This window comes from Homo sapiens, chromosome 10 (assembly GCF_000001405.40).
Source record: "Homo sapiens chromosome 10, GRCh38.p14 Primary Assembly".
Lineage (NCBI taxonomy): Eukaryota > Metazoa > Chordata > Mammalia > Primates > Hominidae > Homo > Homo sapiens.
In genome coordinates this window covers 88,753,014-88,780,114 of record NC_000010.11, presented here as the reverse complement: position 1 = coordinate 88,780,114, position 27,101 = coordinate 88,753,014, and the positions used below count along the sequence as shown (strand labels likewise).

Sequence of the window (27,101 nt, the reverse complement as noted above, 5' to 3'; positions counted from 1 at the left end):
ATATTGAGGCTTGGGAAACTGGAGGAACCTGGTAAGTCTGTTTCAAGGTTGTGAGCCAAATTTCTTGCTTTGTATAAGTAAGAAAAATAAGGAGAAACATTGTCAACATATCCAAAAATTTGTATTACAAGTCTGTGGCCAAGTTCCCCATCAGTAAAGTGTTGCTAGACTCCATTCCTGCTTGGAAGTCATCTTGGTATTCCAGACAAAATAATGAAATGTATTATAATTAATCTGACTGCACCTAGCTCTAGTATTAGGACATTTTTCTGGACCCTAGAGTCCTCCAAGGCATGATTCTCCTCCTAAAAGTAAGCTTTTTAAGGCTTTCAGAACCATCAATTAGCCTACATAAAAATGTATAATAAAATATGTATTCTTTTATGTTTATCTTCCTTTACTGAATATTATGTTTGTGAGATTTGGACAAGTTGTAACATTATGTCATTACTATATTAAAAATTAAAAACTATTAATCACTCATCATGTTACTACCCTGACACAACTAATTTTATTTTTTATATTGCTTCAGTTTTCATTATATACAAATATTTTATAAAGTCATATAATTGTTTTAATATTTGTATATATTTGCAATCACATAGTTCTACCAGTTTCATTTTCTCCTCTTCACATAACATTATATCATGGGTATTTTTCCATATTATCACATGGTTTTCATAGTGACCATTATTCCCCATCAATACGTATACATTAAATTGATGAATGCTAGTTTTGAGAGAAGAATGGCTCCAGGGGCCAGCAGCTTGTGGATTTGCCAGCAGAGCAGGAAAGTATTATGGAGCTGGCTCTGGATTTTCCAAGGATCATCTCTCTTAGCACAGAAGGATATCAGCCTGCATCAGAACACTTGATCAGATTTACAGTCTTGCTCAGAATCTTTTGTTGGCATCTTCTAATCCATTCTCTATGTAGCAGCCAAAGTGGTGGTTACAAAAATGCGGCAATCAGGTTTCCATTAGGTAAAATATTTTGGTGGCTTCTCATTGCTTTTAAGATGGAGGAAGAAAATACTTAATGTTTAGAGACTATCTAGCCTAGTACTTTCTGCTTCCATCTTTAGCTCAATCTTTTATTGTCAGTTTCCTATCTGTCAGTTTTTCATGGAATGTTCAAACCCCTCAAAGAACAAAAAGCCTGTAAAGGGGGCATTACATGCTAAACAAAGAAGCCTCCCTATGATTATAAAATGATATTGATGCTGTACAATTTATTTCTGCTTTAATAAGGAAGATTTTATACATGTATCCTATTATGGGTTCAAGATTCCGTTTACGCAGATAGCCAGGGATAAGATTGTAAGAAAAGAGGGCTTCTCTGGAAGAATCTTTGGGGACTTTTTTGAATTTCTGATGTTGAAAATACCTAAAAAAGTAAAAATGTCTATACATCTTCAGGATAGCTAAGAAACTTTTATAAAGAAGTTACAGGCCCTCCTCCTAATCCCACACTCTGTCCATTGCCATAGCAATCCATATAAATAAAATGACAACAGAGGTTTCCATATAGGACCTTAAAGGAATTTCACTGTTCCTTTGAAGCTTCAGACATTTCTATACTTCATGGTATGCCCTAAAAATTACAATTTAATTAGACTTAAATGCCAGATAGAGTAGCAACTTGTTTATCTTTTTGCCTAATCTACCTCATTGTTTATAAGGACCTGTAGATGGTCCCATGCAAAGATGTCTCTAAACATAAATAACACTAACACAATTGACTTGGAAAACAGACTCCACTGTGCATCTCCCCCAGGGTGCTGGGGGACAACCTCATTGTTGGTTACTATTTTTTCTAAAGTCCCTTATGGGCTTGGAAGCAACTTTTAATTGAAAAGTAAATGCATTGCATTTAGGAATATGCCTTCATTAAAGCTATGATTTCACTGTACATCCGTTGAGGGGCATCGAGGCCCCAGACAAAATCAAAGTGGTTCCAATCTGGCAATAGCTTAAAGTAATGAAGACTCTTGATTTGAGGGAGTATCCTGGCCACATCCTGGGGTGTTACGAGGACATCATGTCCACCAGCCCAAATAGCAGTAGGCACTTTCATGGCAGTCAGGTCATATATAGGGGGATGACTCTGTGGGAGAGAAAGCAAGGGCATTCATGAGAGGAAGCTCCTCAAAGCAATAACTACAAAGGCTGCTAAATGAATGTGGACAATGGCCATAGTTCTGTTAGGCACCAGCAACATATGAAGAAAACATACAATGGTCTCTACCTTTAAGAAATTTGCAAAAGAGGGAGCAAGGCAAATATTTGTATACAAAGTAAGGTATGTTAAATGCCATAAACACTCCAAAAATAAAATGGAAAAAAAGGCAAAAAATTATTTCCACCTGAGGGCTTCATAGAAAGAGGGGTCCTGTGAAATGACTCTTGAGGGAAGGTTGCATTTTGACAGCAGAGATGAGGGTGAGTGGGAGGCAGGAAGAGTTTGTAGGCTATGATCAGGAATGGCAAGCTTCCCAGTGTACCTGGAGAACAGAATATGTAAAGGAATATGATAGGATATAAACTTGGAGGCAGATAATCAAAGTCTGAATGTCAGGCTAGGAAATTTGGACATATTGCGGAAGTTTTGGAGACAAGGGTCATTTCTCGGAGGTCTGTCTTCGGACTACCATATGGGCAACAGTTAATGGAATCACCTACAGAAAGAATAGGTTGAAGGCAAGTCCTGAAAAAATCTAGATAAGCCATAGAAATGGTCCAAATTAAAGCTATGCTGACTTCTCCAAGGAAGAAAGAGAGTTTTGAAGAATCCTTGGGGAATGCTAATGATTTCAGAGAGGTGGAAGGTGGAGTAGCCAGTGCCTGGGACAAAAGGAACAATCACAAACAGAAGGAAAATCAGAAATCATTGTGTTATGGAAGTCCAAGTCAGGGGACTGAGTTTCAAGGAGACTGTGGTAACGAACATAACACATTTCAAAAGGTGAAGATAGGCCATTGAATTTGGCAATTAAAAGCCATGGGTGACTTTAAATAAGGTAGCTATGATAAAAAGATGAAGACCTAAACTACATTGTACAAGGTTAAGGAGTAAGTAGAAGAAGCCCTCTTCAATACTAAAAATATGTTGATAAGAACAGAGTGACATAATGATAACTTGATAGAATTGATGGTCTTGCTTGTTTTTCATAAGGGACAGGAGAATGGAGGCAGGAAGGAAGGGGAAGTGAGAAGAGATGGGATCAAGGGCACAGGACCGGAATAACTTGGAAAATAAGAGGACCATCATTTTCTGATAGAGAAAGGAAGGAGAGAATCAAGAAGATAGAGACATTTTGAGGTAGATTAAAGTTAAGAAATTTCATTAATGCAACACATAGATACTGGGAGCCCAGTAATTGTCATGTACTCTTCCAGATGAGAAAACACTGGTGAACAAAATGATGAGAAATCCCTACCCTCATGGAGCTTACATGGGTTAATTCTCTTATACTCAATAAAATATAGATATAGCAGAGATAATGCTGTGAACTTGAGGAGAGAGCAAACTGTTGAGACTAGTTTTTTGGAGAGAATGTAATAAAAATTGGCATCAAATGAGATTAATTCACAAAATAGGACCGGCTTGGAGCAGAGTAGGACCAGCTAACTGTGGACAAATTCTAAGGACATTAACACTCTCACATACTTTAGTACTTGACCATAATGATCTTGAATGTGCGTGTTGATTTTGTTTCATTTTCTTGTAAATGTAAATAATTTATAAATATAGCATGTTTATTCAAAATAATGGAAGAAAACAGACATATGTAAAGTCCAAAATGAGGGTCCTTTACTGTTTCATGTCCATCCACTTCTTTTCTTCTTTCTTCTCTCTGAAGATAACCACTTTAACATTTACTGTTTTTTTTTCTAGACCTTTTCTAAGCATTTGCAAATACACGCATTTGTGTCTATAAATAGTCTCAGGAGCAGGAAAAAAACTTTTAGTGGTGATATAAACGTCCTATATTTAGATTGTGGTGTGGTTACACAAATAAATATATTTGTCAAAACTTATTAAATGGGACACACAAAATTAGTAATGTTCTTGTATGTAAATCACATCTTAAACTTATTTTTAAAAATAAATAAAATATACATGGTCTATCTCTTGTAGTGGTTTTAAGGATTAGTAGAATTATTCCTCTAACAGGCCAATTCATTATTGAGAAATTGATTAGTCTGATTGTTTTGATCCTCAGAAACAACTTATTAATAATCTATAGTTGCACCAGTAAATAGCTTAAAATATGATAGCCTGGGAAAATACTTAAAACAATTTAATTTAGTTTGCTTAGTTCATACTTATAAGCCAAGCCCCTGGCTATGAGAACAGAAAAATGGTGACAGGATTAATTAAAAGTACGGTGCTAAACAAGGCTACAGATTTTTATGTCATAAAGCTATATGGAGAAAGATGCCTTACGACCCAAGTCTTCAATGTTGGGTAATACTTATTCAACTTTCATATGGAATTCTAATTTTTCTGTTGGTATTAAAAAGTGTATATTCATTTATGCTGTAAAGATTTTTATGAAATAATTTCTATTATGTAGCCATTAAAAATGCATTTAAAAATCCCTCAGTTATATTAGTTATCTCTTACTATAGCTTAAGTAAAATAGAAAGATTAAAAGTTGTCTAAAAGCAATATAATACTGAGAAAATTGGAATAAATACACCAAAATGTTAGTACATCTAGTTATCTCTGGATGGAAGGATTACACATGATGTAAGTTTCTTTGTATATGCTTCTTTAATTTATAAATTTTCTGAAATAAATTAAAATTAAAATTAAAATTTTTTTAAAAAAAAGTTCTATCAGTATAAATGCCACCAAATGACAGGTAGGAGTCTTTCCACCCTCAAATAATTTTTTATTATAATTTATCAAAATCAGCATGCTGGGGTTACTGTAAATAGCTCACCTGATTGTAATGTTTCATATTATCAGCGTCATTTCCCCAGTCATAAGCTCTGAATTCATCAGAGTGGTAAAGCTGAAACAAATGTTTTTTAGAAAAAGAATAGTTAGGGTAAGAATCATGAAAGCTAACAGCAAATTTTAGAAAAATGCTGTATGCTAGGACGAAAATAGGGCTCCTAGATCACCAGAAGGATGTAACCACCCATTTTACAATTATGACAAACGGGGCTCAACAGAAAGATGAGCAATACCCCCCTTGGTTTAAAGGAAAAGTTCATGGAAAACCAAGCCTCATTAGAAAGAAGTTAAATCCCAGATACTTCTCTCTGGAGAAGTCTCAGTTCTCCTGAGGCTTCCCTAGTTTACCTCTTGCTTCAGTTCAGGGCCTATTTTTAAAACTCTGATTTAAGGTGGTGTTCATTTATGTCATCTACTTGGTCTGTACCATAACATCCTTTCTCTTAAATTCCAGGGAAATCAAGGCATACAGAAGGCAGCAAGGACAAACTGGAAGCAAGCTCTTAAGATTCTTAGGGTAGGCCTGTTAACAGGGTCAATTCTGTCTTTTTAAATATATTGAAAATAAGGATTGGAATGGTTTTCCATGACTAAGACTCTACCTGTTTTATATGCAGAATGTTGTGTACTGATGAACCAGTGGGAGCATGTGACATATACACATCCATTCGACTCTAAAGGAGATAAAACTCATATTACAGCAATTGCCCAACAAAATTTTGCCTTTCAGAATCAGAGAAAAATGATGCACAGAATTAGCAAACAAGACTGGGGCTTTGAAAATAACAAGGTAGAATTATCTAGATAAATATACCATTTAGGTCAATACTTTAATGTGAGTGAACCACAAGCTGACTAATGGAATGGGCTGCTTGACAGCACACCTGTACCAGCTCTGAATCTGTAGGATAATTTGCTTATTTTGAAGTAGAAGGAACAGTAATGGTCATCATGGAGCAAAGCCAACTAGGAAAGGTTCTATGTGCAAGTGTGGGGGTGATGCATGCATGCGCACCCAGGTGCACTGTCACAGATTAAATCAGAAAACCAGGAGTTCAGGCCCTGTTGTTGTTAATGATCAGCTTTGTGAACTTGGCCACCATATTTAACATCTTTGAGTTTCTGTGTTTTCATCTATTAAATGAACATACTAAAAGTCATAGTACCAATTTCCTAGGCTTTTATGGGGATAAAATAAAATATTGCAAAAGTAAAGCTAAAAGCCAATTTTTTCCAAAGGTTATTTCAGTATTTGTAAACGTTATAGAGATGAAAATTATAGAGATAAAATAGTAATCATAATTCTATGTCTTAGAAAATAATCTAATTAAGAGAAACTATTAAAAATCTTTACTTTTGAGCAAGCCAACTTTGAACAATGGTTCCTTATGGGTTTCAGTCTAACACAATTTAGCTTCTTAGAGAATAGGGGTACAGAACAATTATCTTGGGACTGGCTTCACTGTAACAGCCTCATTGGCTGCTATTTGGAATACAGTAGAGACAACTATTCAACCACACCAGTCTGTGGATGTGAACTCTTCCTCCTCCTTCTTCTTGAATTCTCAATAACAGAAAATGAAGAGGTGATAAAACAGGACTGCTGCTTCTTCATAAAGAGGGGATCCCATCTCCCTTCCACCCTGTCCTGTTATTTTGCAGGTTTTACTTCAAAACAAAAGTCACCCACAAAGAAAGGAACACATGAAATAAGACGCAGGTTTATATGTGCTTCTCTCCTTTTTTAGGATTTTATTTTTAATCCAATATATTCAAATGCAATAAATTCAAATTGACTGTAGTAAGTTATGGCTGATTGAGAACATGTAAGAAACTGCTACCCATTATAAAACATCCATTCTCCTAAATTTCACCAGGGAATAGAAGAGTGAAGCTGCCTATTCACTTCCCCAGTCTTCATATTCAAGGTTTGTTGAGTACTTAATCTTCTATGTATAGCAGACATCTACCTTCATGGTTCCACTTAAATTTTAGGCTTTTTTTTTTATTTCAATGAAGAATGTCATTGGTATTTTGATAGGGATTGCATTGAATCTGTAGATTGTTTTGGATCATATGGACATTTTAACAATATTGATTCTTGCAATCCATGAACATGGAATACCTTTCCATTTTTTAATGTCATTTTCAATTTCTTTCATCAGTGTTTTATAGTTTTCATTGTAGAAATCTTTCACTTCTTTGGTATGGTTTATTCCTAGGTGTTTTATTTTATTTGTAGCTATTATAAATGGGATTATTTCTTGTTTTTTTTTTCTTTCTTTTTTTTTAAGATTATTTGCTCTTGGCATATTGAAATGCTGCTGAATTTTGTATGTTGATGTTGTATCCTGCAAATTTAATGAATTTGTTTATCAGTTCTAGCAGGTTTTTTGTTGGAGTCTTTAGGTTTTTCTAAATATAAGATTCTGAGAAAAAAGAACAAAGCTGGAGGCATCACATGACCTGACTTCAAATTATACTACAAACCTGTAATAATCAAAACTGCATGATACTGGCATAAAAACAGACACATAGACCAATGGAACAGAATAAAGAACCCACAAATAAACCCACACATTTATAGTCAACTAATTTTCAACAAAGGCATCAAGAACATACATTGGGCAAAGGACAATTTCCACAAGAAATGATGCTGGGAAAACTAGATATCCATATGCAGAAGAATGAAATTAGATCTCTATCTCTTGCCAGATACAAAAACAAAATCAAAATGGATTAAAGACACATTTAAGACCTAAAACTATGAAACTACTAAAAAACAAACATTACAGAAGCACTCCGGGACATTGGTCTGGGCCAATTTGAGGTAAGCCCTCAAATGCACAGGCAACCAAAGCAAACATGAACAAATTAGATTACGTCAAGCTAAAAAGCTTCTGCAAAGCAAAGGAGACCATCAACAAAGTGAACTAAAGAACCTGTTGAATGAGAGAAAATATTTGTAAACTACCCATCTGACAAGGGATTAGTAACCAGAATATATAAAGAGGTCATATAACTCAATTGCAAAAAAAAAAAATCTGATTTAAAAATGGACAAAAGATCTGAGTAGACATTTCTCAAAAGAAGACATACAAATAGCCAAGAGGTACATTAAAAACAATGTTCAACATTACTAATCATTAGAGAAATGCGAACTAAAACTACAATGAAGTACTATCTCACTCCAGTTAAAATAGCTTTTATCAAAAAGATAGGCAATAATGGATGCTGACAAGAATGTGGAGAAAAGAGAACTCTTGCACAGACTGTTGGTAGGAATGTAAATTAGTACAGGAACTATGGGGAAGAGTATGAGGGATCCTCAAAAAACTAAAAGTAGAATTACCATATGATCCAGCAATTCCAGTGCTAGGTCTATATTCAAAAAAAAAAAAAGGAAATCAATCCATGGAAGAGACATCTGCACCCCCATGTTTAGTACAGCACTATTCACAATGACCAAGATATGAAATCAGCCTAAGTGTCCATCAACAGATGAGTGGATAAATAAAATGTGGTACATATAGACAGCCATAAGAAGAATGAAATCATGTCATTTGCAATAATGTGGATGAAATTAGAGAACATTACATTAAGTGAAATAAGCCAGGCACAAAAAGACAAATACTGCATGTTCTCACTCATATAGGGGAGTTTAAAAAAAAACTGACCTTATAGAGATAGTGAGAAGAATGATGGTTACCAGAGGCTGGGAAAGGTAGTAGGGGAGGGGGAAGGATAAAGAGGCATTGGTTAATGGGTACCAAAATACCGTTAGAAGGACTAAAGTCTGGCATGCACAATAGGATGACTATAGTTAACAATAATTCATTGTATATTTCAAAATAACTAGAAGAGTCAAATTAGAATGTCTCTAACAAAAAGAAATGATAAATGCTTGAGGTGATGGATATCCCAATTACCCTGATTTGGTCATTACACATTGTATGCTTATATCAAAATATATGTGTCTCATAAATATGTACAACTATTATATACCCATAAACATTTTTAAAAGCAAAAAAAAATCTGTCTTTAAGGGTTTGGAATACCATATGAATTTATACAGTAAATAGATATATCAAAATGAGTCAAAGGAAAGCTGGAATTTCTTAAGGTATCAAATGGCCCTATAATTATCATACATACCTGATTCATATTTTTCTTGTTGGATCCAGCCCATAAGGACATAAATTCGCTACATATCAACCAGAGTATCTTATTGTTGCAGATTTTGGTAGAAGCTATCTTCGTTTTCTTATCTTCTAAAAAGAAACCTTTGGTACCAAAAACAGCCTATGAAAGTAAATAATAATTATCTTTGAATGAGATAAAATATTTGCAGACTATCCATATTACAAGGGATTAGTAACCAGAATATATAAGGAGCTCAACTCAATAGCAACAACAAGGACAACAAGCCCAAATAGCAATAGCAAAAAACCAAAATTCAAGAATCATCTTCAGACTTCTTGACATTTCTTTCATTCTAGGAAAGAGCCATGCTTGGGGATCTATTTGTACTTACTGATTCAGTCAAGGAGACCAAATTATTCAGGAAAAGTTACTTAGGAATGTGTCTCCAGATGAGGAAGAGTATCAAATATTATTTACAAGGAGATTGCAATAAAGGCCCTCAATCCCAAATTCACTTCTCCATAGTGAAGCTTCCCTGTATTCTGCCCAGTCAGTGCTTGCCAATATTTTTTTCTCATTAATTGGTATGAAATGTAGAACAGTTTTTCTTAAGGTCAAATAATACCTTGAATATAAGGGAAAATCGGGGTTTTCCATGTTACCCATGTGTACACTGCATTCGAGTACTGTCCCAGATTAGCCAGCTCTCAGGCTGAAAAGTAGAGAACAGTGAGCCAAAGAGAAGCAACCATTGAACAGAAAAGATATGATAATGTCACAAAGGCAGCACAATTGAAACTTCCAGGAGTTGGGAAAGTAAACTTGGATGGGGATTCCTGGTGGGGTCTTGGAGCTTCTGGGGGAAACTGACGGAAGAAAAGAGCAGGATATGGGACTTAAAAGTAGCAGGAATATTGACAGTGGGAAATGTGAAACTGAGATAACCCAGGAACATTATTTGCCTTATAGCTGACCTATGTAGGAAGAGCAACACAAACAACGCATATATGTATTTACAGATAGATGTATCTCTCTCTGAATTTAATTTAACAAATTAGTTTGCTCACACTGTCCAAATATAGAAAACATTAAAACCTAACTGATGTCAACACATTTTTAAATAAACTAGAAAAGCTCTTGAATAAGGAAGTTACATCATTTGTGCTCTCAGTAAACAATACAATAAAACTATTATCAGACCATAGTATTATCAGACCTAACTATTATTAGGCCCTATGGAAATTATTCCTTGTGTTAGCTCACAAATAATTTTTTTCATTCCTACCACTCTACCCCAAACCAACGTCTCATTTTCTTATATATGAATTATTTTGATATTCTAACTGGTCTCCTTGACTTCAATTTTGGCCCAAATCCATTTTATCCATCATCCCAAGTTCAAAGGCCAATCTGGAATTTGATTAAATGCTGTGTTCATTGTGGCAATGACCTTTGTAGAGAAACAAAAGCAAAGAGAAAAAAAAAAAAAACCCTTTAATAGATAAAATCCCAAATCCACAATTGGCAACCAAATGACTTTTTCAACTCCTGAAAAATAACCAATAAATATTTGAATTAATACTTGAGCTGTAATACATTTAGGCTTTGGAATCTTAGCTTTAGTTATTAGGGCAAGTTTCCATATTGGAAGGAATATATTAATCAGGTTTTTCTAATGTCAAAATTGGACACATCAGTGATTATGGGTAACTTGAAGTGTCTTTCATTTGGGCAATGTGAATTCATTGACCTACCTGACTAAATGGAACAAAAAACACTTGGGAAAACAAGAAAAATCCTTGTTGTCATATAGCACTCAGTTCAGCTAGAAATTCTGACATATACTCAGCCTGCTGATGACCTTGTATAGTAAATTGTATTACAGAACCTGCAGATACTATGGCACAGACATGCGCACACGCAGGGACACACATACACAAGCACATACCCACAGAGTCTAAGTTCTATAGATTTTATCTAAATTTCCTACTTTTACTTTACAGTAGATTTGAAAATAATAAGGATTTATGATCCAAAATGAGATCCTCAGGTACATTTTGTTGAAAGGAGCCTACCTTGATTATGGAATTTGGAAGTAGAAAAAACCTGGTAAAAATGCCCGTGGGATATTTGAATGAGATCGTAGGACCCAAGGCAAAATTCATTTTGATTCTTTGTGCCAGTTCAGGCATGGTGGAAAAGGCTACAAACCCTGAGAGAACAGGAGATAAGACAATCTTGTAAAAATAAATACTTACGCAGTGTTTCTAACAAAATTGGGGCTCTGCTTAGTCATTTTTTCCTTCTATCGTGATCATACTGGGGATGAATTGGAAGTCTTCTGAGTTATTCTATAAAGATAATCTGCCTTCAGTCTTCTCTGCTCTCAAGTCTCCAATTTTATTTTATTCTATTTATGGACAGTTTGACTTGATTGGGGGAAATGGAGTAGTTGGCAGGGGAAAGGTGATGGTTAAGCTGCTGGAGTAGCTACTGCTGTGTAAACTTCCCAAGCATGGGGTAAATGCTGGCAACATTCTCATTTCATCCCTAACTCTGAGATGCCAGAATGAATCACAGAGTTTCCAGAAGCAAATAATCAGTCACAGGAGGTGAATTGATTTCTTTCTGCAGCATCACCCAGTTATTCTAACAGGTTTTCTTTCTCACTATGGAATGAAATTTCACTGCTCCCAGTGTCTTACTGGGTGTTTTTCAACCCTCTAGACTCTTCCCTGTTTCCAAAAAGAAAGGGGCTTTCCCTAGCATCCACGATGGCCCAGTAAGGACCAGGCATCTCCATTTGCTTTGCTCTTTCAGCAGTAGCATTGCACCCCTTTGTATATCTGTGAGGATGGAGATTAGCACAACACTGGGTAGGCTAGGGAGAATATCCATATAATTTGGTTTCCAGAGGTCCCTTCCTGGGCCTCCACTGGCATGTGTGTGTGTGTGTGTGTGTGTGTGTGTGTGTGTGTGTGTGTGTGTACTGAAACACTTGTTGGAACATTAAAACTGTCTTGGCCAGAAAAAGAAGAACTGAAATAATTGACTGAACAATTGATAAAAAGACTCTGAATCAGGAATAGTACTTCCCCAGAGGGTGTTTGGAAATGTGTGGAGGTGAGATTTTTGAGGGTCACGCTGACTGCAGAGCCCTGTTTAATGGGCTGGGACCTACTAAATGTCCTACAAAGAGTGGGTGCTCCTTACATAACAGAAATTGCTCTGTCCAAAATGCAAACAACAGTCACTAAAAATATTTATGTCCTAAATGAAACACAGAGCACAGATAATCAAATTCTCCATGGTTTTTTTTTTTTTTTTTTTTTTTTTTTTTTTTTTTTTTTTTTTTTTTTGCAGATCAAGTATAAGAGCATATCTAAGTCCTACCCACTTTCCAAAACCAACTAAAGTCATTTCTTCTTCTCTACACCATTTCTCCGGAATCCTTACACACCCTATTGGTGAAATCAGATACATCTGGTTTGAATCTGTGTTCTGAACTTGTGTTTCTTCTTCTATGAGATGGGGATAATAACATTCGGGTTGTTTTGAAGATCAGAGGGAGATACTGTGGGGAAGGTCCTGAACACAAGACCCTACACATAACGAATGCTCAATAAGTGTTAGATACTGTAATTATTTGCCTATTGGTGGCATTTTTGATCTCCTATGAGTTCTTTGATACTTTTTTAGTATATGCTGACTGATGCTAACTGCCTGTTCTGAGCTTGGAAAGTGCCTGTCAATCTAAAATACTAATGAATATATGTTTGTTACTGATGATAGTGGTGATAATGAAAATATTTCCCTAAACTGAAATATTGCACTTTCACATGATTTATTCTCTTAAAATTGGAAACTTTAGTGGAAGTTCAATGACAAATTCAAAGCTTTTATTAGTGTGGGTTCCTTTCAACTTTTACTTGGAACTAGATTATTGATTTCTTTCCAAAATACCTGGAAAGTAAATTGTAAAGTAAATTAAGTAAAGTAAGTAAATTAAGAAGTAAGTTGTCAGCTTAAAAAACTTTAGAAATTTCTACATAGTGCTTACATTTACTTGCTATTTCATAAATACTAAATCACACACTGAATAGATAAGCTCAATTGATTTATTATAGTAAGCTTGTGTGTTCCAACTCACAAACAAATATAACCATGCCTTTTCAGTTTGTTTAAATATAGGTATAAGCCCTTCCCTTTTATTTTTTAAAAATCCCATTTGGGTTGTGAGAAAGAGATGATTGATGCACATTTATTATGTTTCAGCCATATTCCATGGCATTGAATTTTACTTTTTCAGCTCAGAGGGAATCTAGAAACTTACTCTGTGGAATTATTTCTTTGAATTTGGAACACATGTTATTCCTGGGAAGTTGCATCACCGTAGTCAATATGCTGCTGTGACCAGAGACCCAGGAAAGGTTTGCCCTACATATAGTCTGTGCACTGCAGGCTCACAGCTACTTAGAGTACTAGGGTTATTCCCAGCAGAGGACAGGGAATTGAGGGCACTATAAGTAACAGTTGTTTTATTCCAACATAAAGGTGAACTCCTGTAAGACTCTGAGAAAACTGACCCTCAAAAACACACCTAACAGTGACCCTCATAAACATACCTATTGTAGTGCCAAGTGAATGTCCAATGAAATACAATTTCTCCTGACCAGTTTTATTTACAATGAAGTCTATTACTCCTGGGAGATCATATTTGGCCATTTCATCAAAACTGCAAAATAAAACAGGGGCTTTTATAAATACTTGCAAGTTTAAGTTTAAAACTCAGAGCACTTGCTCACTTCTTTTTTACACCCAGATTCTATGCTGTTTACTTAGATTCAATGTGTATTTCATTATTTATCCAATTATATGTAGGCTATTGTAGCTTTTTGTTTTTCTGCATATGTACATTTTACTTCCTTATAAGAGGAACACTTTCGAAACTTGTGTATGATATTTGAAGTTCAACCTTATGATCCCTCCTCTTCCTTCCCTTCTCTTGCTTTTCTTTGCCCTCCCTTTCCCCATCTGGCTTGTGTGCCTCTACTTCTGACTCCCACATGAGGCTTCACAATTGTTAGGACCATTTAATACCCATCTTTGGAAACAGGGGTTTTGTAAATCATGATTCTACTATTTATGGCCTTTGCAACTCTTGAGAAATTACTGAAATGCTCTGAGCCTATGTTTTCTCATTTGGGAAATAAACAGGGTAGTACCTGGTTTACGGGGCTGCTAACGGGGTTTAATAGTATGAAAGAAACGACTCTGGCTGCCAGTGGGTGCTCAGTAAGATGTTGTTAGTAGTAGTATTCCTGTCCACATGGATATATAGATATATATTTAATATATACCAATATTCCATAGTACTAGTATTTTGTTCTTCAGACAGGAGGAACAAAAGGGCCTATATAACATTTAGTCAAATCAAGTATTCCATAAGCTAGAAGCCTGTTTATTAAAAGAACATGTGAGGAAATCTATAGATTGGGACTTACAAGAATAGGAGAATTGTTGTGACACCTCCTAAAGACTAATGATTCAATATTTCCTGATGCTTGCCCCTGCCCAAGAACTCAGACTATAACATTCTATTCTATTCCTCCACTATTCTCAAACTTTCAGTGGGTACTGAATGTTTTATTAATGTAGTAGGAATACACACTCTGTTCTAGCATCAGGTTTACAAACCAACAGGGAGCTTAGGCCTGAAGAAAGAAAAGTCTATCGCAGGCATCAGCCTGTCCTCTGGTGACAGCAGAAAACTCTTCCATTAAAAGAAACAAGATATCAAAAAAGATTCTTCTTCATTGCCCATTAAAAAGGTTTTAAAAATCTAATATTGGAGTTTTCCTGAAAATGGTACTATGTGCGATCTCAGTTTCTCTAAATCAATCACAGTTTCTCTAAATCAATAAGGTCCTGGTCCAAATCATCTTTACACAGTTGATTGGCCATCCAGGAGCAATGACTTGTAAAATTATCACTAAAATGAACATAAGCTTTGTGAGGTCAGAGAGTTTGTCTGTTCCCTGTTTGAATGTTCGGGGCCTAGAACAGCGCATACAGTAGCCACTCAGTAAACATTGGCTGAATGAATGTGCACATTGGTCATGATAATTTCCTGAGCTGTCTCTTTGGACATACTTTTAATGCATAGAATTCACAGAATTGGATGTAAAAATGATCTTGTTGAAATGCCATACTTTGCCTGTGGGAGAATCAGTGAAAAATCAGAGCTTCTTGCTGTTACCCTCCTTTGAGATCTTAACAGAAACTACAAGGAGCTATATGACTTCAAGCGTCAAAGATAATCATTAATAGCGTCCACGTTATTTTTTTTAAATTGCCTCCAATTTCCCCCTTGAGTTTTCTTAGCTAATATTTACCTAAAGGCCCAGAATTTCTCATCTGTCTCTGAGAGTGTTTTGTGTCTTCTTGACCAAGTGTTTCCCCGACTGTTTCCCATCCATACATCATAACCTGCATCTGCTAGAAGGAATCCAAGGCTTCCATTAGCATAATTCTCAAGCCAGTAGGCATTGTCTGCAAACAGGGCATGCTGCATATACACAACTGGCCGGGGACCTGGTGGGGGAAAGGGTAAGATGAGAGAGGGAGAAAGAGAAAGAGAGAGAGAGAAAGAGTGAGAGTAATTTATGTTAAATAGAGCATGTCGGAAACATCACAGACACACACACATACACACATGGTAAAACAAAAACTGTTTTCACTTTTCCCTTGTCAATAGTATAGAGCATTATAATCAGGTAACTTCAGTTTCTTGAGCACATATTTTTGTACCTGGTGCTATGTTGACGTATTTATATGTATTAGCTTACTAAATTCTTGCAACAACTCTATAAACTAGCTGCTATTTTGAGAAACCTCATTTTGTAGATATGGAAACAAAACTTTATGTAGTTAAGTAACTTTCCCAGAGGGCCACCCAGATAAGAAGGCCAGAGCAGGGACTCAAACCCAGTTCTTTTTATGTCAAAGTCTGTCCTGATAACTACTGTGCTCTATGTATTTGTATATACAAATTTCCTGGGTGTGGTTTACAAAGACACAAAATTTATCATGCTTACTCAAGTCCTATAGCTCTTCCAGGGAGGAAGAGGAGGTGAGTGTAAATGGACACTGATTAGTTCCTCACCAAATTTCTATTCAAATCCCCATCCTCTGTCCAGTGGAGAGCATTTAAAAACTACAATAATATGCTCAGCTCAGTGTCCCTCTGCCAACTTCCAGATTTCTGAGGGAGAGAGAGCATTCAGGGAGATCCAAAGAACCAGGGTGGAAGGTCAAGTAAGGCACTATAATTTAATGACTAAGAGCACAGGCTCTGGAGCCAGCATGCCTGGGCTTAAATTCTGGTCTGTCAGCTTGCTATTTGTGGACTTTAGGCCTCTTAACATAACCGGTTGTGCCTTAATTTCATCATTTGTGAAATGGTGACTATTAGTGGTACCCATCTCATATTGTTGATGAGAAGTTTAACTGATATAAAGTATTTAGAACATTACATCTAATGAATGATCTTTAATTCTAAATCTTTCCAAAATTATCTCTCCTTAAGCCAAATCTTTCCCATAAAAGTTTTCTCCTTTTATATTTCACAGCTCCTTCACACATGTGCCTGGGATTGCCAGATTTAGCAAAAAATAAAAACAAAAGTAAGCAAAAAGTTCCAGGATGCTCTACAAAATTTTATAAATAGTGATAATAGTGAATAAATAATGACTTTTTAGTATTATCTTAAAATGAGACTTATACAAAATTATTTGTTGTTTATCTGACCTTCAAATTTAACTGGGTGTTTCATATTTTAACTAGTAAAACTACTCATATCTCACTCTCATTTTTCATTCTGAAACTGGAGATAAAAGAGGGAGAGAATGTCAAACATGACCTCAGCTGCTCCTTAATATGTGTGGTGGGAAAAAAGATGCAAAATGAACACGGTAAGCAGCTGCCAATAAATTATTTGCTATTGAACCATTGCAGATATTTTGGTTATTCTTATCATTTCTACTTCAGAGGATTTGTAGTTAAATTTTCCCTTTTAAGGAGTATCATTCCCCTGCTATGGCATGGCTGGCTCCTCATTCTAGAATTCAAGCCTTATTGACACCATACTCTTTCATTCTATGAACCGTCTGTCCCTTAGATCAAAGTGTATGTGGATGTTAAGGTTTTCAGTCCTGGAAAACTTTTCAGAAATGCGTTGTCATTTAACTAGATTGTTTTTTATCCTGCAGAGGGAGGCCCCTTAATTTTAGTGGGAGCAGGAGAGGTTCTTCTTGGGTGCCCCAGAGTCAATTTCATACAACCTAGAAAATCTCCTTCTGACAATGAGAGGATCCATTTTCCTGGGACAAAGCAATTTTCCACATGATAAATCAGTAATGAGGTGACAAAATGCAGGCTCTGCCTTTCTGTTTACACCCTAACAAGTACCTCTGGTTGCAGTTAGCAAGATCAGTCTTGCTGTTTGTATTTTTAGGTTCCTGTCTGTCTTCAGAGAATTATCAGGCAAAGAGTGAGCCTCCCTGATAACTATTTAAAGACTAATCCAATAATTCAAACCAATTTTGATAAACTCTGTTGATGCATATCTAGCATTAAATTCCTCCTGAGAAGCAGGAGGTCAATGCAGTCCCCTTTTCAGGAGAGACATATCTTGTACCTGTGCTCCTAGCATGTGTTCGCCCATAAGGAATTCTGTTGACAAGGAGTATATACCCATCTTCAGTGGTGACTTCATACTCTTCACTGGGGTAGCCATTGTAGATGATGATTTCACTCTGCCCAGTAAAAATACAGTCGTTAGTGGAACTTCTCCAAAGGATATAAAAAGGAATCAAAACAAACCATCTGTTGTGTGCTTATTAGGGTGAATTATCTGAAATTTGTAGCACCAGGTAACTGTAAAATTAATAAATAAAGTCTTAATACAAAATAAGTAGAATTTTAAAAAATATCTACTATTGGCTAATATTTTGGGGGGTTGGGGGAAAATTTAGCATTGACCCATTCTTTCTGACAAAGCTATATTATCAAGTCAATTGTCTTTTGAGACCCCTCTTGCTTTAAAAGTAATAGAACTATAGATCAATAGAAGGCAATCATGTACATCAACAAATAGCTTGATATTCTTAAAACATAAATTCAAAAGAGGAGGTTCTATCTATAGATAGATAGATAGATAGATAAATAGATAGATAGATACATAGATAGATAGATAGATAGATAGATAGATAGATAGATAGATAGCACAATAGCACAATTTGGTTTTCATTACCGGACAGTATTTGTTTTTCAGACAAAGATCTAACTAGCTTGACTCTTGCAGAGGTTAAAAACCATCTACATTTTATCTGTTTTATCAGAGATTTTCTGTTACAACAGGACCTTTCGTAACCTCATACTCCATTAGTCCTGCTTTATTTGATGTTCTTCACAGTTTTCCATGACTTACAGTATTCATCCACACCTCAGGATTCACTTCATTTTCCAAATCAAGGAATCCACCAGCATTTAAAGTTCCACAGATCAAACAAGTTGTTGTTAAAAGCAGCCACATCATAGAAATGCCTGGCATAAAACATTTAATATTCACAGATTAATTTTAACTATCAATGTTGATTAATGAAATAAAATGATTAGTGAAATTATTAATGATTAATGAAAACTTGAATAACACCGAAGGCAGATAATGTATAAAAAGGAATAAATACAGTGAACTAACTTGGAGCACTATTAATCTATTTTTTCATGTAGAAGTTGTCTTGATTATAATCCAGTTCCTAAAATGAAATAAATTTAATCAAGTATGGAGGCATTTTTGGTCTTATTTTAATCAAGGTTGAATTGCTTTAAGTCTTTGTTTGCCTACAATTTGACAAAATATCTAAAGATTCAGAGGACAGGTTTTCATACCATGGCCAAGTAAAAAGTGGAGGTATCCCCTAGTTAAGCCCAGTATCCCACAAAGTAAACAAGAAAAATGGATCAATAAAACTTTAACCAAACACAAAAGCTTATGATTAGTTTCTAGTGATGTGATTATTTCTCACGTGGCACCCAAAGGCAAATTTTGCGTATTTCAATGTGCAGTCTCACTTCCTTGCCATGGTTTAAAAGTATGTCTATTCAAAGGTAGACCAACACTATAACACTAAACAGCGTGCTCATCATATAAGTGCTACAGTCAAATGGTCTAAATTTGAAATCCAGCCTCACCACAGAAGAAGATGTCTAACCTCAGGCAAGTGTTTTAGTAGCTTTGTCTCTTGGTTTCCTTGTTAGTAAAATTAGGACAATAATGTAACCTATCTCATAGGGTTATAGTGAGGATTAAGTCATATATAACATTTAGTGCAGTGTAAGTTCTTAATAAATGCTTTCACTATTTTTCTTATAAAAGTGAGCAAGAGATAAATATTACAGATAATTCACTATAACAAAGTAATATTTAACTTCTAGAAATGCAGAGTTTACTTCTGAAGCTAAATAGCTTTGCATACATTAGCTATCTGGTTGAAGATCATCTTATATCTGCAAATATTATGAAACTTTTCAAATTGTATGAAACTAATAATAAGCTACTGAGTCCCCTTATGGCAGGCATTACTCTAAATAGTTCACGTATGTTATTTAAGCTCTGAAAATCTCCCTAATTTTGGTACTATTATTATCCTCATTTTATCAATTAAAAAAACAAAGGCTTAGAGAGATTTAAGACCTGCTCAAGGTCACAGAGCCAAGAGGTGAGAGATCTAGGATGGACACTCAGGCAGCCTCACTGCAGAGCTCTTGCACCTGACTGCCAGTGCAACTGGCACCTTCCAACCTGCCTCCTGGTTATGATAGATCTTCATCTTACCTAGTTAGATGAGCTTCACCTGCTCACAAGGACTCCTTATTGATGAGGAACTTCTGAACTTTTGCTTTTGACATCAGGCTGAAGAGTAAGAGATGATTACAGTGACAGTTAGAAGCTAGAGAGATGAGAAACAGGAAGCTTGTGAAAAGGAGGAAGCTTTAGACTGAGACACACACCCAAGGCGTGTCCCTGACACACCAAAGGCCATGATGCACTTGCAGGTTGGGAAATAGTGGTCTACATGATGCAAAATAACCAGTTTGACGGAATCCTTCATGTTTCCACTGAGTATCTGTCATTGTTGGGAAGACTTAGCAACATTTTCAAACCAGTGTGTCAAACAGGGAAGTAGAACATACTCAAGATCTTAATGGACAATCAGAGACAATAGTATCTCCCTTCCCCATTTGATCCTTCATGAGGATCAAACGGAGTAACATATATCAAGGAACTAGTGCCAACCATGCAGTGCGTAGGGATGTGCGTGACTGTAACTCATTTGAGAAGATGAGGCAACCCTGACTCCTAAATCCTGAAACCAGAAGGAATTTGGAACTAGCAGTATGGCAGAGGAAACTAATTCACATGCCAAAGGGATTTGGGTTGCTGTCAACTTTGGCACAGTAACCTTTGTTTACACCAGTGGTTAAAGGCAGAAATGGAGGCCAAATAACGACAATTTACCTCTAAGCCCCACATGAGATACCAGATAATGGAGGCACACGTGCCTCAGTTTTCTGCTTCACTTTGTATGCCTGTGGAGCTTAAGCCGTAACTGAATCTCTTTCATCTCCCAGCATGAAGAAGGGTAGGGAAAACTAAGTTGCTACCCAGCATAATATAGAAGTTTCAGTTCTATTAGTTTGGATTTATCCTCAAATCCTTTCAAAAAAAATGATATTTTGTGTTGTCCAAATCCTAAGATCTGTTTTAGTGGAGTGGGAAATTTCATGCCAATTAAACAAATGTGGAGTAAAAGGAAGTGTTCAGCTAGTCAGAACAGGGAAAAGTTATGTACCACTCCTTAATCATTTAGTCTTGATGAAAGACTCAAGCATGTTTTGCCCTGATTGATAGTATGATGGCATAGGTATGTGGATTTTCCTGGAATTTCTCATGGTTTTTAACTTCAAAAACAATCCTTTCTAACAAAACTTTATTGGACTCTTTAGAAAGTTCTAGAAGTGCTATGTTATTATTATTAATATTGATTTGTTGCCTTGACTTAATATGGAAATAGCACAAATATAGTTCAATTTCACAGATCTTTACAGATTGTAGGCTAGCTCAAATCTTAAAAGAGTTTCTACATCATTGACTTATATTCCCTCCTCAACTTCGAGTTATTTGAATAATCTGGACAATTCCTGTAATTCTTTTGTTTGTGCAGAAACAAAGTAATGTCAAAGAAATAAAGCTGAAACTTTCTCACAATGCTCCATCACTCTTCCTATATAAGCTTGCTATTTTAATAAGTATTTAATATATTACTGAGTATTATATATTTTTCTGTATTATATATTGTTCTACAATATTTAATAATATATTCTGTAATATATATTTTCTATATAATAAAAGTATATAGAAAATATATAATGTTACAATATTTCTATTATATATTTCAATACTCATACTGAAATTAATTTAAATGAATACATTAAAACTTGTTCCTTGGCCCTGTGGGATACAAAATGGTAGCCCCTACTCTCTAGAAGCTCAAATTTTTCCTTTTTTTTTTTTTTAATAAAATTAGATGATAGTGGAGCTAGAAAGGGGTAACCTTTCAGAAGGCCTGTGGTATTTTTGAAATCTCAGTCCAAGAATCATATTACGGCCTAAGCTAACTGCTTAATGATGGTTACTCATTCAATTGTGAAGATGGTGGAACACACATGGTTGAACATAGATCCTTGACTTTGGGATCTACCTGTAAAAATGATTATTATTTTTCTTCCAATGTCCTATTCAAAACACATTTCCTATTACAGTGTGGTTATCTTTTTGTTTGTTGGATTGCTTCTTTCTCCTCAAAGGCTGCTTTTTCAAATTTTCTCTTGAAAATAACTCAAAGTTAAAAAGGTTAGGCCATAACCAGCAAAATGGAAACTAGTGAGAATTTTGAAAAATAAATAATTTGAACCTCACACTTTTGAGACAAATTTCACCCTACAGTAAAAAGACTGTGCATGAACAAGAACCTGGATTTTGTCTCTTGCTCACTAGATAATTTATCTAATTTATTTTGCATCCTAAAATTCAAACAGTGCTCAATAGAACCATAAGTGTCCATAAGTCTATATGTGTGTGTGTAAAATTATTAATTAGCACACTTTTGCTTAAGAGAAAATACTTTATATTTTAAAATTTCATCTCTTTACTCAAAGCGAAGTTGGGAATGTTCATAATTACTACAAGAAACAGTGTTGTTTTTGAGATTACATATTAGCGTAGAACATGCTTTCTTTTAGTGTTAGTGAAAATGAATCTCTGTTTCAGTGACATCTATACTACATCCATCTTTAAAAACAATAATGGCTATAATAGAAGAGAGAAGTGACAAAAAGATCTATCAATCATAGTTAACTAAAATATTAAAGATTTTTGAAGAGGCCATAATAAGTTTATTGAACACACATCCATCTCAACTCAAAATGTTCAAAGGAAAGATCACTTACATTTAAAGAGAAATTATTACCAAGAGTGCCGGCAGCTGTCCTTGATAACGTCCATGTTCCGGAGTGACACGATCAGGACCATCCGTGTTTGTGACAAAGGTCAAATCCTTGTGAGAATGAAGAGGAAGGGCCATACCATTGAATATGAGGAAAATTATATCATTTTCCTGCCCCAGGCGGATCTACCTTCCTCGCTTCCTGCTTAATGTGCAGCATGTATGTGTGGTATTCTCTAGAGCTCATTTTGTATTTGAATTTCTGTAGGAGGTATATTCAAATGTAGATTCTTTAAAAAAAAAAAGACACAGGACACTTAGCTAGACATTCAAGTTGGATCTAGTTTTAATTTGTCTCATCTAATTTGCAAGAGTAAATAAATGGTGATTGGAATGTGCAAAGAGGTAACATTGTTGTTTTGATATATGCTCCTGTTTTTTTTTCCTGAGTTAATGTTCTATTTTGAGTTACTATTAAATCACCTTCAAATCTCACCAGCACCCCTGAAAATAGATAAATTGTTTTTAGAGTTTCTTAATTTCATTCCTCCTCTAATCACCATCATCATCAAAAATTTTTGCGGACTGAGTGAATGAGTGATTGAATAGATGATTCTGGAAGTCCAGAGAATGCAGCTTAGTTACTGAAGAATACTAATAATGTTATTATAAATAATAATAGTGAATTATTTATTATTTATTAAGTACATAGTATGTGTCAGGTATTTTACTTTGATATGCTACCAACTTGGCTGTAAATTCCACTGGCTTTCTTTGCTGTTACAAAGGAAATTTTTCTTAACATTACCTACTAAATTTAATAGAAAACAGGAAATTCACGGGAAAAATTCAATCTTGTCCTGTTTTTTAACTAAATTGGAAGAGATACATTGCTATTTACAGATTGCAAACCACACGAATACAATTTAAAAATTGCTACCTGATAGCATTTTTTCTCTTTTTCAGCCTCCAAATTATTCTTAAACCTAGTAACCACTATAGCACAATCTGATATCTTTTACACAGTCTGTATTTTTTCATTTTTCCATACATTTAAAAAATCTTATAAATGCAGAGATATTCCATTTTCCTAGAAATAACCAGAATTTTCAGGGGATAGTTACCTTACTCTTTTCACTATCTGAGCATGGTCCAATAGAAATATAATGTGAATTAGGTATTTAATTTAAATTTTCTAATGGCCACATTTTTAAAAAGTATAAAAGGTGAAATTAAATTTTAAAATGCATTTTATTTAAACCAATGTGTTCAAAATATTATCATTTCCATATGTAGTCAATATCATTATTAGTGAAATATTTTCTGATATGGTTTGGCTGTGTCTCCACCCAAATCTCATCTCAAGGGAGAGACCTGGTATGAGGTGATTTGATCATGGGGGTGCTGTCCCTCATGCTGCTCTCATGATATTGAGTGAGTTCTTATGAGATCCGATAGTTTCATAAGCATCTGGTGTTTCCCCTGCTTGCACTTCTCTCGTCTGTCACCATGTAAGACGTGTTTGTTTCCCCTTCCACTATGAGTGTAAATTTCCTTAGGCTTCCCCAGCCTTGCAGAACTGTGAGTCAATTAAACACCTTTCCTTTATAAATTACCCAGTCTCAGGAAGTTCTTTTTTCTCCACATCATAGCTATTATCATCATTTAAAATCACATATGTGATCTTATCTTTTAAGTATTCTTGAAAATAAGACTTCAATGATTTTGTTTTCAATATTCCGTGAGTGGCTAGGAGAGCCTAAAACCAGACTCTGCCTACCCCTTTGAGCTCATCTCAACCCATTCTCTCTTTGGCTCCTTGGGCTTCTTTAATTTTCTTAATTTAACCTAGCTCCTCACCCCTGAGTTGGTACCCTACCTGTAATATCTGGCAGATATCACGGATATCAGCCAAAATTTCATGTCTTCAGAGAAGACTTCCCTGTCCACCCTGGGGAGGGTGTACTTCTTTTTGATGACTTCATCACAATTATTAAATTAAAATTAAAGATTTAAGTATGTAAATTAGTATAGGTTGAGCATTCCTAATACAAAAATCCCAAATCTGAAATGCTCCAAAATCTAAAACTTCTTGAGCACTGAAATGCCACAAGTGAAAAATTCTACACCTGACCTTATACGACAGGTTACGCTCAAAACACAGTCAAAACTTTTGTTTCATGCACAAAATTATTTAAAATACCATACAAGCTTACTTTCAGCCTATTTGTATAGTGTATATGAAACATAAGTGAATTTTATGTTTAGATTTGGATTCCATCCCTAACATATCTTATTATGATATGAAAATACTACAAAATTCAAAATATGTCTGGTCTCAAGCATTTTGGACATAGGATACTCAAACTATAGCTGTATAGTATCTGATGTTTTCATTACTCTGAGTGCCACTTGGGCAGGAACAGTGTTTTCCTTATCATTCTTCTTGTTCTGAATGGCTAGTTTATAATACATACTTATAATATTAAAGCATAAAGGTTAAGAGCTTGGTTACCTAAAGTCAAGGTTTCAGAGTTCAGAGAACTAATATTTTAGAGAAGTTGCCCAGTATCTCTAAACTTCAGTTTCCTGATCTGTAAAGTGATAAGAATGATACCATGTTATAAGGCTATCATGAAGATTAAATGATACCATTCATGTAAAATGCTTACACTATTATTTCCTCATGGAAAAGGCTCAGTGAACTTGAATGATCGTGGAGGGGATGATTTTTGTCAAACCATATACTTCTGTGTTTTCTTCCATGTACACCAAGCAACAGTTTCATACTAGAATTTCCCATGTGTTTTATTACAGGAAAAGAAAACACTAGTCTGGCCAAATAGTAGTTCTTGATATAAATTATAAACATGTGTTTTGTTTTATGTTCTGCAGATCCTTGTACATTTCAGTTGCATGAATCAGCATGTGTAAGTGCAGTCATTTCTGGGGCAGTGACAAGATCAGTGTCAGGATATGCCAGTATGATATGCCATAGCCACCAAAGAGGTGTCTCCCTGTGAAGGCTTCTGGTGCCCTGCCAGCCAGCCTTCCCCTGCTAAGACTCAGATCTCCTTTAATATCCTCCCCATCATGTCTACAGCCCCTTTATTTATGCCAGGAAATTCTTGATAAATGAGTCTTAGCCAAGTTTATATTAATTACATGTTGTAAAATACCCCAATTTCTACAGGGCTCAATCAAGTGCTTCATGTTACTTGACACTCCCAGTCACCAAACATGTATTCATTGATCATTGACTTTGTGCCTGGGTGATTGTTTTCCAACCCTATATAAAGAAATAAAAACAAATTCAGCAATCAGCAATGCAAAATTCAGTGTCTGGCATTCAATATAATATTATTAAGCATGCAATAAGGCAGGACCCATAACTAAGAGAAAAATCAATCTATAGAACAAATTCCCAAATGACAGAGGTGACTGAATTAGCAGAAAATATGTGAAAATGTATATTAAAATATGTTAACTCAAGAATTTAGATCTATCAAACTTTTAACCAAAGAGACAGAATAATAATCATCATATATTAATATTATATATAATTTTATTATAACAGATAACATATCATATGTAGTATATTACATATTTATTATACATTGTTATCTAATTCTTTAATACATAATTATATTTTAATATATTGTATATAATGTAATTATAAATTATATAATATCATATTATGTTATGTAATTAATATAATCAAACATATAATTAATATAATTGTTATATAACAATAACAAATAGTAGTAGTAGTTTACTATTGCTGATAACAAATTACCACAAGCTTAGCAGTTTAAAACAATATACATTTATTATCTCACTGTTTCTGTGTGTCAGTAGTCCAGGCATGGCATAACTGGGTCCTCTGCTCAGGATCTCCCCACGTTACCTTCAAGGTGTTGGCCAGGATGCTCTCTCAATGGGAGGTTACTAGGGAAGAATGGGCTTCCAAGTTTATTCAGGTTTGGGCAGAATTCATTTTCTTGAGGTTATGTGACTGAAGGCCTTGGTGTTTTGCTGTTTTATCAGCTGGAAGCCACCCTCAGATTCCAAAAGCTATGCTCAGTTCCTTGTAAGGTCAGTTTTCTCAACATATCTGTTTATTCCATCAAGCTAACAAGGAGAATCTTTTGCTCCAATCTGCTAAGATGACGTGCAGTGGCATGATCTTGGCTCACTGCAACCTCTGCCTGCTGGGTTTAAGCGATTCTTCTGCCTCAGCCTTACAAGAAGCTGGGATTACAGGTGCATGCCACCACATCCGGCTAATTTTTGTATTATTAGTAGAGGCAGGGTTTCACCATGTTGGCCAGGCTGGTCTGGAACTCCTGACCTCAAGTGCTCCTCCAGCTTCGGCCTCCCAAAGTGCTAGGATTACAGGCGTGAGCCACCAAGCCCCGCCAA

General features: G+C 35.3%; 1 protein-coding gene across 7 annotated transcripts, besides 1 other annotated feature; it reads right to left on the bottom strand.

Annotated features, from left to right (window-relative positions):
- Nucleotides 489-22,889, bottom strand: LIPN (lipase family member N). Of its 7 annotated transcripts, none has more exons than XM_005270049.4 (11): nt 22,684-22,889; nt 20,009-20,086; nt 18,602-18,717; nt 17,810-17,927; nt 15,507-15,705; nt 13,737-13,846; nt 11,187-11,323; nt 9,124-9,270; nt 5,571-5,642; nt 4,952-5,023; nt 489-2,106 (listed from the first exon to the last, which is right to left on the bottom strand). In XM_005270049.4, exons 3-11 carry the CDS (start codon nt 18,707-18,709, stop codon nt 1,873-1,875), a joined length of 1,197 nt encoding a protein of 398 aa, XP_005270106.1. In that variant the 5' UTR covers nt 18,710-18,717; nt 20,009-20,086; nt 22,684-22,889; the 3' UTR covers nt 489-1,872. The 7 variants fall into 7 exon arrangements, with proteins under 7 accessions (XP_005270106.1, XP_047281598.1, XP_011538386.1 ...); XM_047425642.1 differs by lacking the exon at nt 22,684-22,889 and adding an exon at nt 18,872-18,929 and having other exon boundaries at nt 20,009-20,095; XM_011540084.3 differs by lacking the exon at nt 20,009-20,086.
- Nucleotides 19,741-20,940: an enhancer, noted in NCBI's record as "BRD4-independent group 4 enhancer chr10:90518932-90520131 (GRCh37/hg19 assembly coordinates)". NCBI's record gives its function as "activates an origin of replication core promoter dependent on BRD2, P300/CBP, MED14 and CDK7 cofactors, and independent of BRD4, by STARR-seq in HCT116 cells {active_cell/tissue: HCT116}" and the evidence as "EXISTENCE:reporter gene assay evidence [ECO:0000049][PMID:35650434]".